Source organism: Homo sapiens, chromosome 10 (assembly GCF_000001405.40).
Source record: "Homo sapiens chromosome 10, GRCh38.p14 Primary Assembly".
Taxonomy (NCBI): Eukaryota; Metazoa; Chordata; class Mammalia; order Primates; family Hominidae; genus Homo; species Homo sapiens.
The window spans coordinates 67,646,846-67,661,342 of record NC_000010.11 but is presented as its reverse complement, the minus strand read 5'-3'; the positions used below and the strand labels follow the sequence as shown (position 1 = coordinate 67,661,342).

General features: G+C 37.7%; 1 protein-coding gene across 7 annotated transcripts in view; it reads left to right on the top strand.

The window, feature by feature from the left end:
• The window catches only part of CTNNA3 (catenin alpha 3), a 1,851,072-nt gene that overhangs the window by 102,252 nt on the left and 1,734,323 nt on the right, over nucleotides 1–14,497 (top strand). For 4 of the 7 annotated variants that reach the window (XM_047425124.1, XM_017016152.2, XM_017016158.3 and 1 more), the window contains exons 2-3: nucleotides 12,527–12,603; nucleotides 13,825–13,928. In XM_047425124.1, the coding sequence (XP_047281080.1) occupies nucleotides 12,573–12,603; nucleotides 13,825–13,928 (135 nt within the window). In that variant the 5' untranslated portion in view covers nucleotides 12,527–12,572. The remainder of the gene's footprint in view (nucleotides 1–12,526; nucleotides 12,604–13,824; nucleotides 13,929–14,497) is intronic. The other 3 variants (NM_013266.4, NM_001127384.3, XM_017016151.2) reach the window with 1 other exon arrangement.

Here is a 14,497-nt window from a genome sequence, read left to right as displayed (position 1 = left end):
CTTCCTGACTTTCTTCCCTTCCTTCCTTCCTTCTTTCTTCCCTCCCTCCCTCCCTCCTTTTTCTCTTTCTTCCTTCCTTTTCTCTCTCTCTCTTTTTTTTTTGTTTTAGTAAAATTGCTGCAATTAATTGCCTTGGGAATACATCACTTTTTATTTTTATATTTGTGGTAGAGTCCTAAAAACTGAATTGCTGGGTCAAAGTTTAAATACATACATATACATATACATGTATTGCATATTTGCCCTCCATAGGGATAATGTTTTAAATATCCACAAGCAAGGTATAAGAGTATTTGTTTCTCTGCAGCCTTACTAACAGTTTGTTATAAAAATTTTGGTATTTGCCAATCTGAAAGGTGAGAAAGAATATCTCAATGTATTTTAATTTGCATTTCTCTTTTTTTTTTTTTTTGAGACGGAGTCTTGCTCTGTCGCCCAGGCTGGAGTGCAGTGGCGCGATCTTGGCTCACTGCAAGCTCTGCCTCCCGGGTTCAAGCCATTCTCCTGTCTCAGCCTCTCGAATAGCTGGGACTACAGGCACCCACCACCATGCCTGGCTAATATTTTGTATTTTTAGTAGAGATGGGGTTTCACTGTGTTAGCCAGGATGGTCTCGATCTCCTGACCTCATGATCCACCGCCTCGGCCTCCCAAAGTGTTGGGATTACAGTCATGAGCCACTGCGCCCGGACTTAATTCGCATTTCTCTTATTATGAATGAGGTTGGGAGGCTTTTTACATGGTTAAGTTTACATATTTTTCCATGAATGAGAAATTGCATTCAACCTCAAATAGTATCTATTAATCTCTTGCTATGAAAGATGAGTGAAGATGAGTGTTTGTGGCTTTTCCATCTTTTCTTTTTTTGCTGTGTAATTCCACAGCAAATTGCTAGTCTGCCCACCATGTCCCCAAATGTGTTCTCAGTCCATGTGTATGGGATACTTCTAATGTTACTAATGTTTTGTTGCTTGCTTCCATTTGTTTCTTGAATTCTAAATTGTTGGGGAGAAGCAGGAGGGTGGTGTTTTGAAGCCAGGGGAGAAAAGTCATCTATTTCCTATAGAGAGGATATTTAACATGTGTAATAAGAAACAGTTAAGTAGGGTTAATAGGTATTTAGCTAGTGTTCCTGGAGAAACTTTAAGAAAATATTGATAAATAATGAACTTGGATGGTTAGATTTAAAGATTCTAGCAGAGACTTTTTAAAATTCTCTTCAAGGATTATGACAGAATGGAAAACTAGGAGACACAGAAGAAGCTGAAATTCCCCAGTTACATACTATTTGTTTTCCTAAGTGTATTTATTGATTTACAGAAAAATGAATATAGTGTTTTTCAAGGACTTTGGTTTCATTTTATTTATTCTGATAAGCAGGCTTTTATTTATTTCTAGCTGAACAGAGAACAAAGAAGAAATGGGAATTTTTTGGCTTCACATTGAGGTTGATGAGAATTCTACTACCTTTGCCATTCTCTTTTTGTTCTCTGCTTTTTAAAAATATCAGACCTTACGAGAATTCATATACAGTTGAGCTGTTTTACAATATTATGGAATGGGATGGACCCATAGGCTCACTGGACTTGCAGCAACAGAAGCCTCTGTCACTTTCAAAGTGTATGTGAAGGGCACATTACTTCTGCCGTGGTTGCTTAAAGTTGATGCCTTGTAGCTGAAGGTTATTCTTGTTCTGGTGATTCAGTGAAAGCTTTTCTGTTGTCTCATATATTAGATTAGCTTCTTCTTTGACTTCAATTTGACTAATTTAGTTCTATGGCTTTTAAAAAATATGTAGGTAACCTTCATGCTGGGCTTATATAAGATGGGTCTCCATTTTGGCATACTTTTTATATGGTACAAAATGTCCTTAAGTAGAAGGCATTGCTACATAGAGTAACTGACCATGGGGCATTTCTGTTCTTTCTCTGTAGCTGCAATTTTGAAAATGTGTGCCATTGTGGTGAGCTTTTAGTATGAACTGACATGTTATAAAATAACTAAATGGTATGTTGTCAGGGTCATAAAGTCATCTTGTGGAATTCTCATGTACAATATTACTTTTCAGGTAAGTCAGAAATTGAATTATGACTTTTTGCTTTTTTTAAGAGGGAGATTAGATTTGACCAGCTATTCATGATCAGAAGGACATTGTAAGACCTAAATATAAGTAGAATCTGTTGTTTTCCTTTGTTTTCATATTTCATATTGGTTAAAGTAATTTTTTTTTTTACCTTTTTTGCTGCTTTCATTTTGGTTGTATGTGTGAGGAAACATGTTTAATTTTGGTTGCTCTGGCTAGAGTAAACACATTTTTTAATTTAATTAATTTTGTTTGAATCTTTTCATAAAGAATTCATAAAACTCATCATTTTTGGGGGAGGCTCAATTTGATCATTTTTCAAAAACATCAATAAGATGGCTATCTAAAGGTTTAATAAAGAGAACTTCAAATACTCAAGCTTATAAAGTTTGAATTACAACATGCTAATGATATTTACCTTTTGTTCTAAAATGTAATATTGTTTTGTTCTGTTGAAATTCAGAGATTTTGGATGCTAAGGAAATAAAAAGTACAGACTCTTGGAGTTCCCCACACTTAGTGCATCTAACAGTTGTAGCCCTAACCCTGGGGCATACCTTTTATGTACCACTCTGGAATTGATTTCAAAGGGCTCAAGATCCTTTAGGAGGCTGTTGTGCATTAGGAATGTGTTTGTTTGTTTTTTTTAAGACAGTACTTTAGGCATGTTGCATTTCTAATTAGTGCACATGTAGGAAATATGCCTTATTGATTTTGAAGTCAAGAAATCCAATAAAATGAGGCCACCGGAGGGAAGCTTTGTTTTAAAGTCTTTTGTTATGAAAACAATCAATGAAAGCACTCTTGAATAATAATTATGAGGTCTATAGATGAGGGAGAGGTTTAATCTGAATGTAGACAAGTAGATTCTGTTCTTTCACTTAAAAGGGGATAATGATATCAACTAATGTTTGTTGAGCCCCTGCCAGGTGTCAGAGATATTGGCTAAGTTAATGGATTTTATATAGATTTTCTTAGGTAATCTTTAAGATCCTTTTGAGGTAGGTACTCTTATTATTCTCATTTTATGGATTAGGAAACTGATGTTCAGGAAAGATCAGTAATTTATCTAAAGTCACCAGCGAGCAGGGAACAGAGCCTGGATTCTCACCCAGGCAGTCCAACTTTAAAGCTGATGCTGATAATCACTGAGGCCCAATAGTGGTGAGAGGTAAGAGAATTTAAGAACTCTTTAGCAGACGGTGGGGGTTGCAGGGTGAAGCGAAAGGATGTCTCACATGGGCTGCTGCATATTACCCTGCTAAGGGTCTGAGTGGAGATGAAATCTAGCCCTCCCTCTGCTGGGCAAACTGTGGGCCTTTCTGCTAACACTTGCAGGGCTGTGTCTACTCAGAGAGTGGCACAGTTTTCTTTTTTTTCTTGTCTTGTCTTTTTTTTTTTTTTTTTTTTTTGAGATGGAATTTCACTGTTGTTGCCCAGGCTGGAGTGCAATGGCGTGATCTCAGCTCACTGCAACCTCCGCCTCCCAGGTTCAAGTGATTCTCCTGCCTCAGCCTCCCGAGTAGCTGGGATTACAGGCGCCCACCACAATTCCCGGCTAATATTTTAAATTTTTATTAGAGACAGGATTTCACTATGTTGGCCAGGCTGGTCTCGAACTCCTGACCTCAGGTGATCCACCTGCCTTGGCCTCTCAAAGTGCTGGAATTACAGGTGTGAGCCACCGTGCCTGGTCAGTTTTCTAATCCATCTGTCCAGAAGGGGCATATTTTTTTAATTCACCTGAAGGCAAATCTCAATTCTACAGTCATACTCTGAATATCACTGCCTGTATTTCCATTCACTTGCAATAGTGGACTTCAACCTACCTCTTTCTAGTCTACATGCTTCCTTGGTAGTCTCATTGTATCTACCTTTATGCTGACAACTCCAAAAGTTATATTTTCATTTCAGATTTCTCTTTCAAACCCTGCTCTTGTATATCTAACTGCCTACTTTACATCTTCACTTTGATGTTAATATGCACCTCAAATTTATCATGTCCCCAGCTGGACTCTTCTTCTTCCTGCTCCTCTTGCAGCCATTCCCACCTCAGTTAATGGCAACTCTATCCTTCCAGTTGCTCCAGATCGAAAAACTTAAAGATATCTTGAGTTCTCTCTAGCCTATGTTTAATCTTTCATGAATTCCTGTTGTCTCAATTGTCAAACTATATCTACAATCTGAACCCTGTGTCCACTTCTGCTACCACCAACCAGTTCTAAGCCATTATTTTATCTCATCTAGGTTACTATGGGAACTCCCAATGGCTGTCCCTATTTTTTCTTTTGCCCTTCGTACTTCGTTCTATTCACCAGAGTGATTCCTCTAAATAAAACAGTTGATGTTTTAGTGCTCAAACATCTGCAATAGTTCTTATGATCTGCAGCCTCCATACCTTTCTGACTTTCTCTCTTACTATGCTCTTTGTAGCTCACTCTGCCCTGCTTACACTGGCCTCCTTGCTGTTCTGCCACTGCTTTTCTGCCTTAGGCTTCTGTTGTGATGTTACTTCTGCCTGCAGTGCTCTTCCCCCGGCTGTCTGCTTGGCTAATTTTCTTGCCTCTTCGAGTCTTGCTCAGATGTCCCCTTCTCAATGAGGCTAGTCTTGACCTTATTTAATACTGAAATCTGCTCTGAACTTCCCTATCACCCAGCCCTGCCTACTCTATTCTGCTTTTTCTTTTTTAAAATGGCATATGTTATTTTCTAATATACGAAATCATTTACTATTTATTATCTTTATTGTTTATGGTCACACTCTCCTCGTGATTGGCACAGAGTAGATAGTCAGTAAATATAAGTTGAAAGAATGAATAAATGAATGATGCCCTATAGTCTAGGGATACGTCTGATCTCACATCATTTTGCTCTTATAGCCTACCAAAAAGCTAGGTGGGAGAGTTTATATAGATTATTGCCCTCTATGTAAACACATCAAAAATATTTGTAAAGTCCAGGAAGAGCATTTGAAAAGAATGAGACCCAACTATTCCTTCATCACTTACGATATCAGGCAGTTTCTTGATTTTATTGATCTGACAAACCTCAGATCCTTTTGTTTACCAAGAGAGTAGAAGGTGTATGTATTTCTTTCTTGGTAGGCCAAACATACCAGCAAATTATTGCACTGGAAACATGGAGGTGGGGCTTGGAAAACCAGTGTGTATAGAAATTGTAGTGGAAGTTTTATATTACAGTTGTCTTCTTTCCATTTTATTTCACTCTAGCCAAGACTCAATTGTATAAAATCAGCTATGATAATATTGTATGGCAAACTTCCCTTGCCTCCTTTTCCTTTACTTAAATCTTCTTGTGATGATTTAGATTTTTTTTTTCAGTTAACATCTGGTTTCAATCCTTCACATTATTCCTGACTATATTATACTAATTTTTCTGAGGCATGGTGATGGGGGAGAGCGAGGCTTATAAAGTTCAGTTATGCATTCAAGATAAATTTTTTTTTTTTTTTTTTTTGAGACGGAGTCTCGCTCTGTTTCACGATCTTCTAATCTTGGCTCACTGCAGCCTCTGCCTCCTAGGTTCCAGCAATTCTCCTGTCTCAGCCTCCTGAGTAGCTGGGATTACAGGCACATGCCACCATGCCTGTCTAATTTTTGTATTTTTAGTAGAGATGGGGTTTCACCATGTTGGCCAGGCTGGTCCTGAACTCCTGACCTCAGGAGATTGTAGTGGAAGGCTGGCCTCTGCCTCCCAAAGTGCTGGGATTACAGGCATGAGCCACCGCACGCGACCTCAAGATAAATTCTTAATGAAAATTTTTAAAATACTCTTTTATAACATTATTTCAGTACTTGACAGTCTTTCACTAGTTGCTGATCCTTTCTTCTGATATTTTGGGAGACAGGTATTAGGCAAAGGTTAACATTTGTGATGATGGTGGGGATTGGCACCTACTATTAATACAAATATTTCTCTTTTATATTTAACTAAATAGAGTTTCACTAAATGAGATCCACTGTGAATCCATGAAGCCCAAAGATACTTTTGGTGGAAGACTTGTTGACATGATCAGAATAGTTTAAACTTGAGGAAGAGACACTTATTTCCAGATAAAACCATCAAACATATATGAATGTGCACACCTGTGTGTATGTGTTAGTGTTATGACAATAATCAGGGCATAGAAAGAACCATGTTAATAGAGATGATGTATAGTACTTATCAGGAGAAAACATGGGAGAAGGTCGATAATAAATAAGAATAGTTACCTGGGAGAACACAAATTAAATATAATCACAGATATACTAATAAATCATGAATGTTTTTTATTTCTGTGTTTTCGACTATTTAACCTTTAATTATTTACTCATGAATGGAATTTTGAATGTTCACAAAATAATTTTAATAAAAGAGGTAGAGAAATACACATATAGTGAATGCACACTCTTGCATGGAAATCAGAAGCTTAAGGAAAGAATAATAACAGAGAGCATTTGGATGGAGGAAAGAGAAGTAAGAGAAGAGATATTGTCACACAGCTTAATACTTCAGTAACTTTACTGGTCCAGATTTAAAAAACTATTACAGTAACAGATGACACATTCTAAAAATTTTAAGAAACCTTCTCTTAGAAGTGGAATAACAGCCAGGTGTGGTGGTGCGCGCCTGTGGTCCCAGCTACTTGAGAGGCTGAGTGGGAGGATTGCTTGGGCCTGGGAGGTGGAGGTTGCAGTGGTGAGCTGTGATCACGCCACTGGCACTCCAGCTTGGGCAACAGAGTGACCCTGCCTCCAAAAAAAAAAAAAAGTGGAATAACATGACTTTTCACCTTAACTCTTTGGCAATTATATATCTTGGCATATTGAGGAAACAATGAAAGAAGCAAATCTGACCACTTGGTGATATGGAGTGCTAGAAAGTCTGGGCAGGCCTATCTTTAACGTTTGTATTGGGAAGTGTGAGGGTACAGACGGAGGCCTGCACACCATATGCCTATGTGTATAAGTTACAATTCTATGTAATAGGCTGCTAAAGTAGGCTCTACTCGCCAATCTTTCTACTTTGAGAAATATACCTTCAAATAACCCAGAAGGCAAGATTGGTTTTAGAATCCTTGGGTTCCTTTTAGAAGGAGGTGGTGGAGGTGGAGCTCACCTCTGTGTCCCTGACACATGGCCTGTTCTCTTCTCTTCCCACTTCTGGCTGTCTTGCACTTGAGGGGCCTTGAGTGCCTGCAAGTTGACAGCCCAGCCTGTACACCCAAACTCAATCTGCACTCATTGGCAAACAGCTGCCTTTTGGCTACCTCTCAGGTATAGGGTTGGGCACATTGAATGGTTCAGTCTTGGAAGGATGGATTCCACGAAGAGGCCAACATAGGCACTGGAAGTGGGTTTGCACTCGTTGAGCAGGGAGTTGAGACACTGGCTACCCTGGGTAGGATAGGATAGAATAGATGTGGGCTCTGGGTGGGTGCATCATCTTGGCCCCATGGACACTTCCAAAGCATGAGGATAGGGGGTGGGGAAGCTTTTGCCCAGGGTTATAGAGAAAGTGGCCATTTATTTGGGTGATAATCCCAAATAAGATAATGTTAGACATGCCTCCTAGACTTTAAGAGAAGTAAATTTCAACAATTTCAGATTAACACGAAATATGATTCCAAGGGACTATATATGACATAAAAGGAATGTGATAAATTAAACATGAAGAAAGAAGATGCATAGTTGGTAGGGCCTGGGCTTTACTACATTTTCTTTCACTGGAACCTAAGATTGTGGCTGATGTGTTTAAGTCCTCCATAAATAGTTGTTGAACAACAACATAAACAACCCCAAACTCCAATGTATCTGTGTAGGGGTACAAATTTGAAAGAATATGAATTAAAGATGAGAAGAGGGACATATGTAGTTTGGATATTTGTCCCCACCCAAGTTTCATGTAGAATTGTGATTCCCAGTGTTGGAGGTGGGGTCTGGTGTGGAGTGATTGGACTTTGGGGGCGGATTTCTCATGATGGCTTAGCACCAGCCTCTTGGTGTTGTCCTCATGATAGTGAGTGAGTTCTTGAGAGATCTGGCTGTTTAAAAGTGTGTGGCACCTCTCTCTCTTTCTCTCTTGCTCCTGTTCTCACCATGTGAGATGCTTGCTCCCCACCTTGCCTTCTGCCATGAGTAAAAGCTCCCTGAGGCCTCCCTAGAAGCTGAGCAGATGCCAGCACCATGCTTTCTGTATAGCCTGCAGAACCATGAGCCAATTAAATATCTTTTCTTTATAAATTACCCAATCTCAGGTATTTCTTATAGCAATACAAGAATAGCTTAATACAGGGACACCTGACTGAAGGCAAATAAAAGAGAATGGCAGAAACTAGGAAAAGTAAAGTTGGGAAGGCTAAAGCACTTCTCATTTGCTAGGTCTGGCAGGACATGCTGAAGGTAAGAAAAACAAAAACAGGAAGGAATAGATCCTCTACATTAGTCACATGATAAGGGATTAATAGATGACTTATGATACATCTAAACTATGATGTCAAATTGGCAAGGGTGGAACAAAGATTAAGGGAATTGAATTGAGTAGAAAAACAAAAATGTTATAATTCGTATTAAATATATAAATCCATATGTTCTGGTATTATGTATGATATCTCTGGAACTATAAGAGTAAGTGCCCAAAGTAGTTGCCTCTGGGAGGGAAATTAGGTGGTAGGAAGACAGGGATGAGAGAGAGAGAGACTTGGTTTCACTATATACATTATTAAACCTTGTATTACCTAATAAAATGTTTAATTAATTAAACAATAATTGAAACTCTAGATGATGAAAGTAAAGAAGATAGCCTAGTCTCTTTAAATTAGTTGAAGTACATACATCCAAAAGGAGTATATCCCTGAACCCTAAAATGATCTTTAGATGTGATAACAGAAACTTTCTTGGGAATCCCTGAGAAATGGTAGACCTGCCAGAAAGCAGAGTGCTCTGGAGTGAATGTTTGTATCTTCCCCACCTGCCACTGCAAATCCATGTGTTGAAATCCTAACTCCCAGGGTGATGATATTAGAATGGTGGAGCCTTTGGGAGCTAATTAGGCCATGAGTGTATAGTCCTCATCAATAGGATTAGTGTCCTTATAAGAAGAGACATGATGTGTTCTGCTATCTGCCATGCGAAGATACAGAGAGAAGGCAGCCATCTGCAGACCAGAAAGCTGGCCCTCACCAGACACCAGATGGGCCAGTACCTTGAACTAGGACTTCCCAGCCTCCAGAACTGTGAGAAGTAAATGTTTGTCGTTTAAGCCACCCAGTCTATGATATATTTGTTATAGCACCATGAACTAATACATAGAGAAGAGCAAATATTCTTATTTTCAACATAGGTAAAAAGATGATCTCTTTAATTAGACTGGACATCTAGGTGCCAATCTGTAGGAAAACTAAAAACCTAATTTGTAAATAAAGGGCAGTAATTACTAGCAGTCAGCATGAATTCTTCACGAACAAGTCATGCCAAACTATAAATATATATTTTTTGAGCTCTTAAACAGGAAGGTGTAGAAAGGGTGTTTCTATTTCATTAAAACATTGGGAAAAGCCTCTTCATGATATATCTATATTTTTGACGAAATGAAAAAGGTAGATTATTTCACACAACAGTGTTTAATAATATTGAAAATCATGTCTAAAGTGTTTATTAATTGATCATTACATATCTGGAAAGAGATTTGTAACAGTATCAAAATTAGGTTTTATGTCTGGCCTTCACCTGTTTAATGACTTAATAGGGAATTCTAGAATTCATACTGGACAAATTAATGGATAAACAGGGAAATGGGAGGGGGTGTTAATGTGTTGGGTTCTCCCAAACCAATTTTTGACTAGCAGGAATAAAAGTCCATATTCTACAGGATAAGGTGTTAGGAAGACAAAATAAAATTCTGCATTTAGGAGTAAATAAAAATCATTTGTTTAAAGATGTGATGAGAGACTTGAGTTTGCAATAATCTTTGAAATAAAAAAGACTTAAACATTTTAGTTGAAAAGTGAGTATAAAGTTAGACTAATTAGGTAAGTATGATGACTGTGTCATGGAATTTAATAAGCTTAAAGGAGAATCAGCCATCACCTTACAAACTAATTGTGTTACAAAAGTTAATCTTTTTTTTTTTAAATTAAATATTTGATATTAGGGAATTTTCTATAGGAACCACATTACAGATGGTTAGGTTTCCAAGCCATCCCACAAGAACATGACAACTTATGTAAAAGAATTGTAGTTTTACTAAGAGGAGCCTGAGCTCTAGAGTGGGTGGTGAAGAGTGGGGAGGCAGTGGGGGAGGGGGTGGTGGTTATGTGTTACTGTAGGGAGGAGAAGTAGGTGCCAAATGTTTTCTGTTTAATATTTGTGAGGGAATGGCAACCCTTAGGCAAATTTTGGAAATGAATAGTTTTCCACTGGCCTCTCTGTGCATCTCTCTGATCTTCCATCATCCCTCTCCTTTGCTGCCAGGGCACGATGAAAACACAACGTGGTTCGTGCTGTAATAGAGACGTGCACAGGGTGTCAAATGGCAAGCAATGAGCTAGTTCATACTAATGTGTGACTGAATGTGTGCACCCCATGACCTCTCAGAATTAACTGCATTTAGAAATGAAATGTGTGTTAAACCAAATGAACTTAAAATTGATATAAAATGATAAAAGTTCAGTTTCCAGCAGGGAATAAAGTGGAATGAAGAAAATTGAGTCATTGCAGACAAAGATAGTTTGGGGAGAAGGGAAGGATCCATATGGTTGGGTTTGCCCTGCCTTGGTGTCTTTCTCTGGAGACATCTATCACCACTGTCAAGAGATTTGTTCTCCTTCCTTTAATTCTGAAAACTGGAATTTTGTTATAGTCTCTCTCCAAATCTGTACTTTTCTTACTTTATTTATAAAGCGTACTTTTTCCCCTTTATTAAGCCATCTCTTTTGGATAAAAGTTTAAAAGTGGCAGGTTTCAACTCAACGAGCATCTAATGGTATAGTAAGCTTCTCATCATTTCTATTCATCCAAGCCCAGTGTGTTGGTGAAATGAAGGTTGTGTAGAAGGTATTCTTGAATCGTTTGGGAGGTACTGCCTAACTCCTAAGATTTTATAGATTACAAAATGCAAATGCCGGCCAGGGTGGTGGCTCACGCCTGTAATCCTAGCACTTTGGGAGGGTGAGGCGGGCGGATCACCTGAGGTCAGGAGTTCAAGACCAGCGTGACCAACATGGAGAAACCCTGTCTCTACTAAACATACAAAATTAGCCAGGCGTGGAGGTGCATGCCTGTAATCCCAGCTACTTGGGAGGCTGAGGCAGGAGAATCACTTGAACTTGGGAGGCGGAGGTTGTGGTGAGCCGAGATCAGGCCATTGTACTCCAGCCTGGGCAACAAGAGCAAAACTCAGTCTCAAAAATAAAACAAAATAAAATGCAAATGCCTCAGAATGTAATACTTACAACCTAGTAGGATTTTTGTTTTGGATTTGCGTTGTGGTATTGCTATATCTACAAATTTGTCAGATTTTGACTTTGCTTCAATTTCATTTGCAAAATTATGCAGTTTTCTGCCTATGATAGCCCTAATTTCCAATCAGTCAGGAATACTGACCAGGACATACAAAAGAGCAGGAAGACTTTTTAAAAATAAGAAATAGCATTTATTTAAAGATTAATAATTATATGAAGCCAAGTTCTTTAAGGATTTATTTTTTTTAAGTAATTTTTACCATGGAAAAATGAACTTTTGAAAAACTTTTACTTAATTTGTGTTAAAGACATGAACACAGACTTAAAAGATACTTTGGCTAAATTAGGTTGTCTTTTATCTCTTGGCTAAAAAGCACTCCTTTTAGAAAGCTCCTTCTAGGTTGAAAAATTCTTCTAGAAGGATTTACATATGATATGGATAATTTTTGCTCTCCTTAATTTTTTATCTTCCTTACTTTCAATTTCTGGTGGCCATGTAGCTTTGGAAACCAGTCGTGAATTTCACGGTGAAAATGACATGTTTTTAAAGGCTGCGAAGGTTCACCAAATTTTATTTTAGTTCACAACAGTCTCCTCTACTTTTGTCCTTCAGATGAAAGAACAAAGCAATGGCAGAAATCTTGACTTGATTTTTATGTAGGATAGTACCTGTCGTAGAGGAGTAACAAATAAATTCTTTTGTGAGCACTTATTTGATAGAACCCTAAGGCTATACACTGAAGGACATATCCTATTGCACAGATTGGCTCTGGGCTATGCAGAAAGGTCACCACAGGAATAGGCTATCTGTCAATTTAGATTTCCCTGTGTTAGAAGGAATCAAAGTGGTAGGTGAAATGATTGAAAAAGCAAAATCAAAACCAAACCAAACTAAAACATTTCAGTTCTAGAAATGCATTTGAGAGAAACCATTTGGCAATAGTGTTTGGAGCCTTTCTTGAAGCGTGTCTCTTACATTGCAGCTGAATCGCTGAGAAAAGAGACCATGTTTCTACTTTTAGAAGGAGAATGAAATCAACGCAAAGGAGAGAGAAACAAGGTAAAACAGGGCTAAATTGTAGGGCTTTGACTTTATATGTTGATGTATCATATGCCAATAACAGTAATTTGAAACTTTGATTTGAGAAGAAACTCAAGTAATATCTTTTCACTTAATAGAATTTGAATAATTATTTTTTCAAGGCAAAATCTTTCAAAAAGTAAAGGAATTGTAGCCACCCTGTAAGTGGCTTGTGATAGAGTTAAGCACAGACTAGGAACAAGGACACACTTGGCAGGTTTGAAGGGGCAAATGGGGCCCTGGGCAGGCCATTTGGGTTATTTTCAATAAGAGAAAGAGAACTATCTAGAAATGTGCTACATTTCAGGAAGTGTGCTCTCTCTTTGCAATCAACGATGCCAGTGGGTTTCATCTAAAATTCTTAACACTTACTGTAGTTTTTAGTAGATTAATAAATAATATATTATAGCTATTTGAAAATATGGCTAGAGTTTTTGAACGTTAATCCGACTATGACATGCCACATATGGTCATTTGGTATAAATGTATATTGTTAGGCAAAAATCTCACTGAATTGATTTTTAAGGATAACGTTAATGCCTTAGAGAATGGCTTGCAATTCTTTTTTTTCTTCTTATTTTGTCTTGACCAAATATCAATGCCTTCTCAGGGGCTTCTCTCTTTTTACAACAACTGTGCAATTTGTATTAGTTTCTTTTCCTGTCCAAGAAGGTAAATTGCCTTTAACCTTCTCCAATCAAAACCCTCAAATAAACAATCTCTAAATCAAGTAAGGACATATCTTTACTTGTTCCCATGTCTTTCAAAGGTTTACTTGTTCCTTGTCTAAGTCATCATTAACAAGAAGAAGCAAAATATGGGCATAGGCTGCCTCAGTGCTGTGATTTCACAGAAGCCAAAGGACTTGAATGCTGTAAGATGTGTCTTACCTTTCTGATCACTTAAGACTACTGATCAAATACAAACCCACCCCGGATGAGTTGTTAATTTAATCATGAACATACTTGTGTAGATTAATTTGTTACAGGACCTAAGCCCAGGCAGCATGACCTCAGGGAACAGTTGGGGAATATCTTCTTTCTCTGAAGGTAGATTTTGTAGCCTGGTCCTCTGAGGGCTATGGTTGATATCAGGAAGAGGTGCTGAATACAAGTTTTACCTATTCCATGATTTCATAAGTGTTCTTCTTTAGAAAACAGTTTTCTTTATTAATAAGCATCCTTTTGTGTTTGTGCACAGGCAGCATGTCAGCTGAAACACCAATCACATTGAATATCGATCCTCAGGATCTGCAGGTCCAAACATTCACCGTGGAGAAGCTACTGGAGCCTCTCATAATCCAGGTATTAATACCATGGAAATTATGATATATAGTAACTGCAGAAGAATGAAAAATATGTGGGAAAAATGAATAATGAAGAATAAAAGATTTGATTTTTATATATAAATATGTCATCTAAAATTGTCCTTTAAAGAGTTGTTAAGATGTGAAAAGTAGGTATGTGTGTTGTTAAGATGTGAAAAAGTATGTATTCTGAAAGTTTCCCCCACATTCTCTTTTAGCAAGAATAGCAGTAATAATATATATATATATATATATATATATATATAATTTTCAGAGTACCTTTATATAAATTATCTTCTTTGATAATCGTGAAAACTGAATGAGGCAGGTAACATGGTTAAAACCATCTTTATTACATAGATGAGGAAACTGAGGCCTAGAGAATTTCACTAACTTGCCTCAGGCACATGGCATCTCATTTGCCAAATGGGAAACTACCTTTAAAATACTAAAATGTATGAGAAAAGCAGCTATTTAAAGGAATTCTGTGATGAAGTCTTTCATAAGGTGAATAATCCTTTGATGATATGCATAATGATTCTCTGACTTTTTTTATTATGTAAGTCG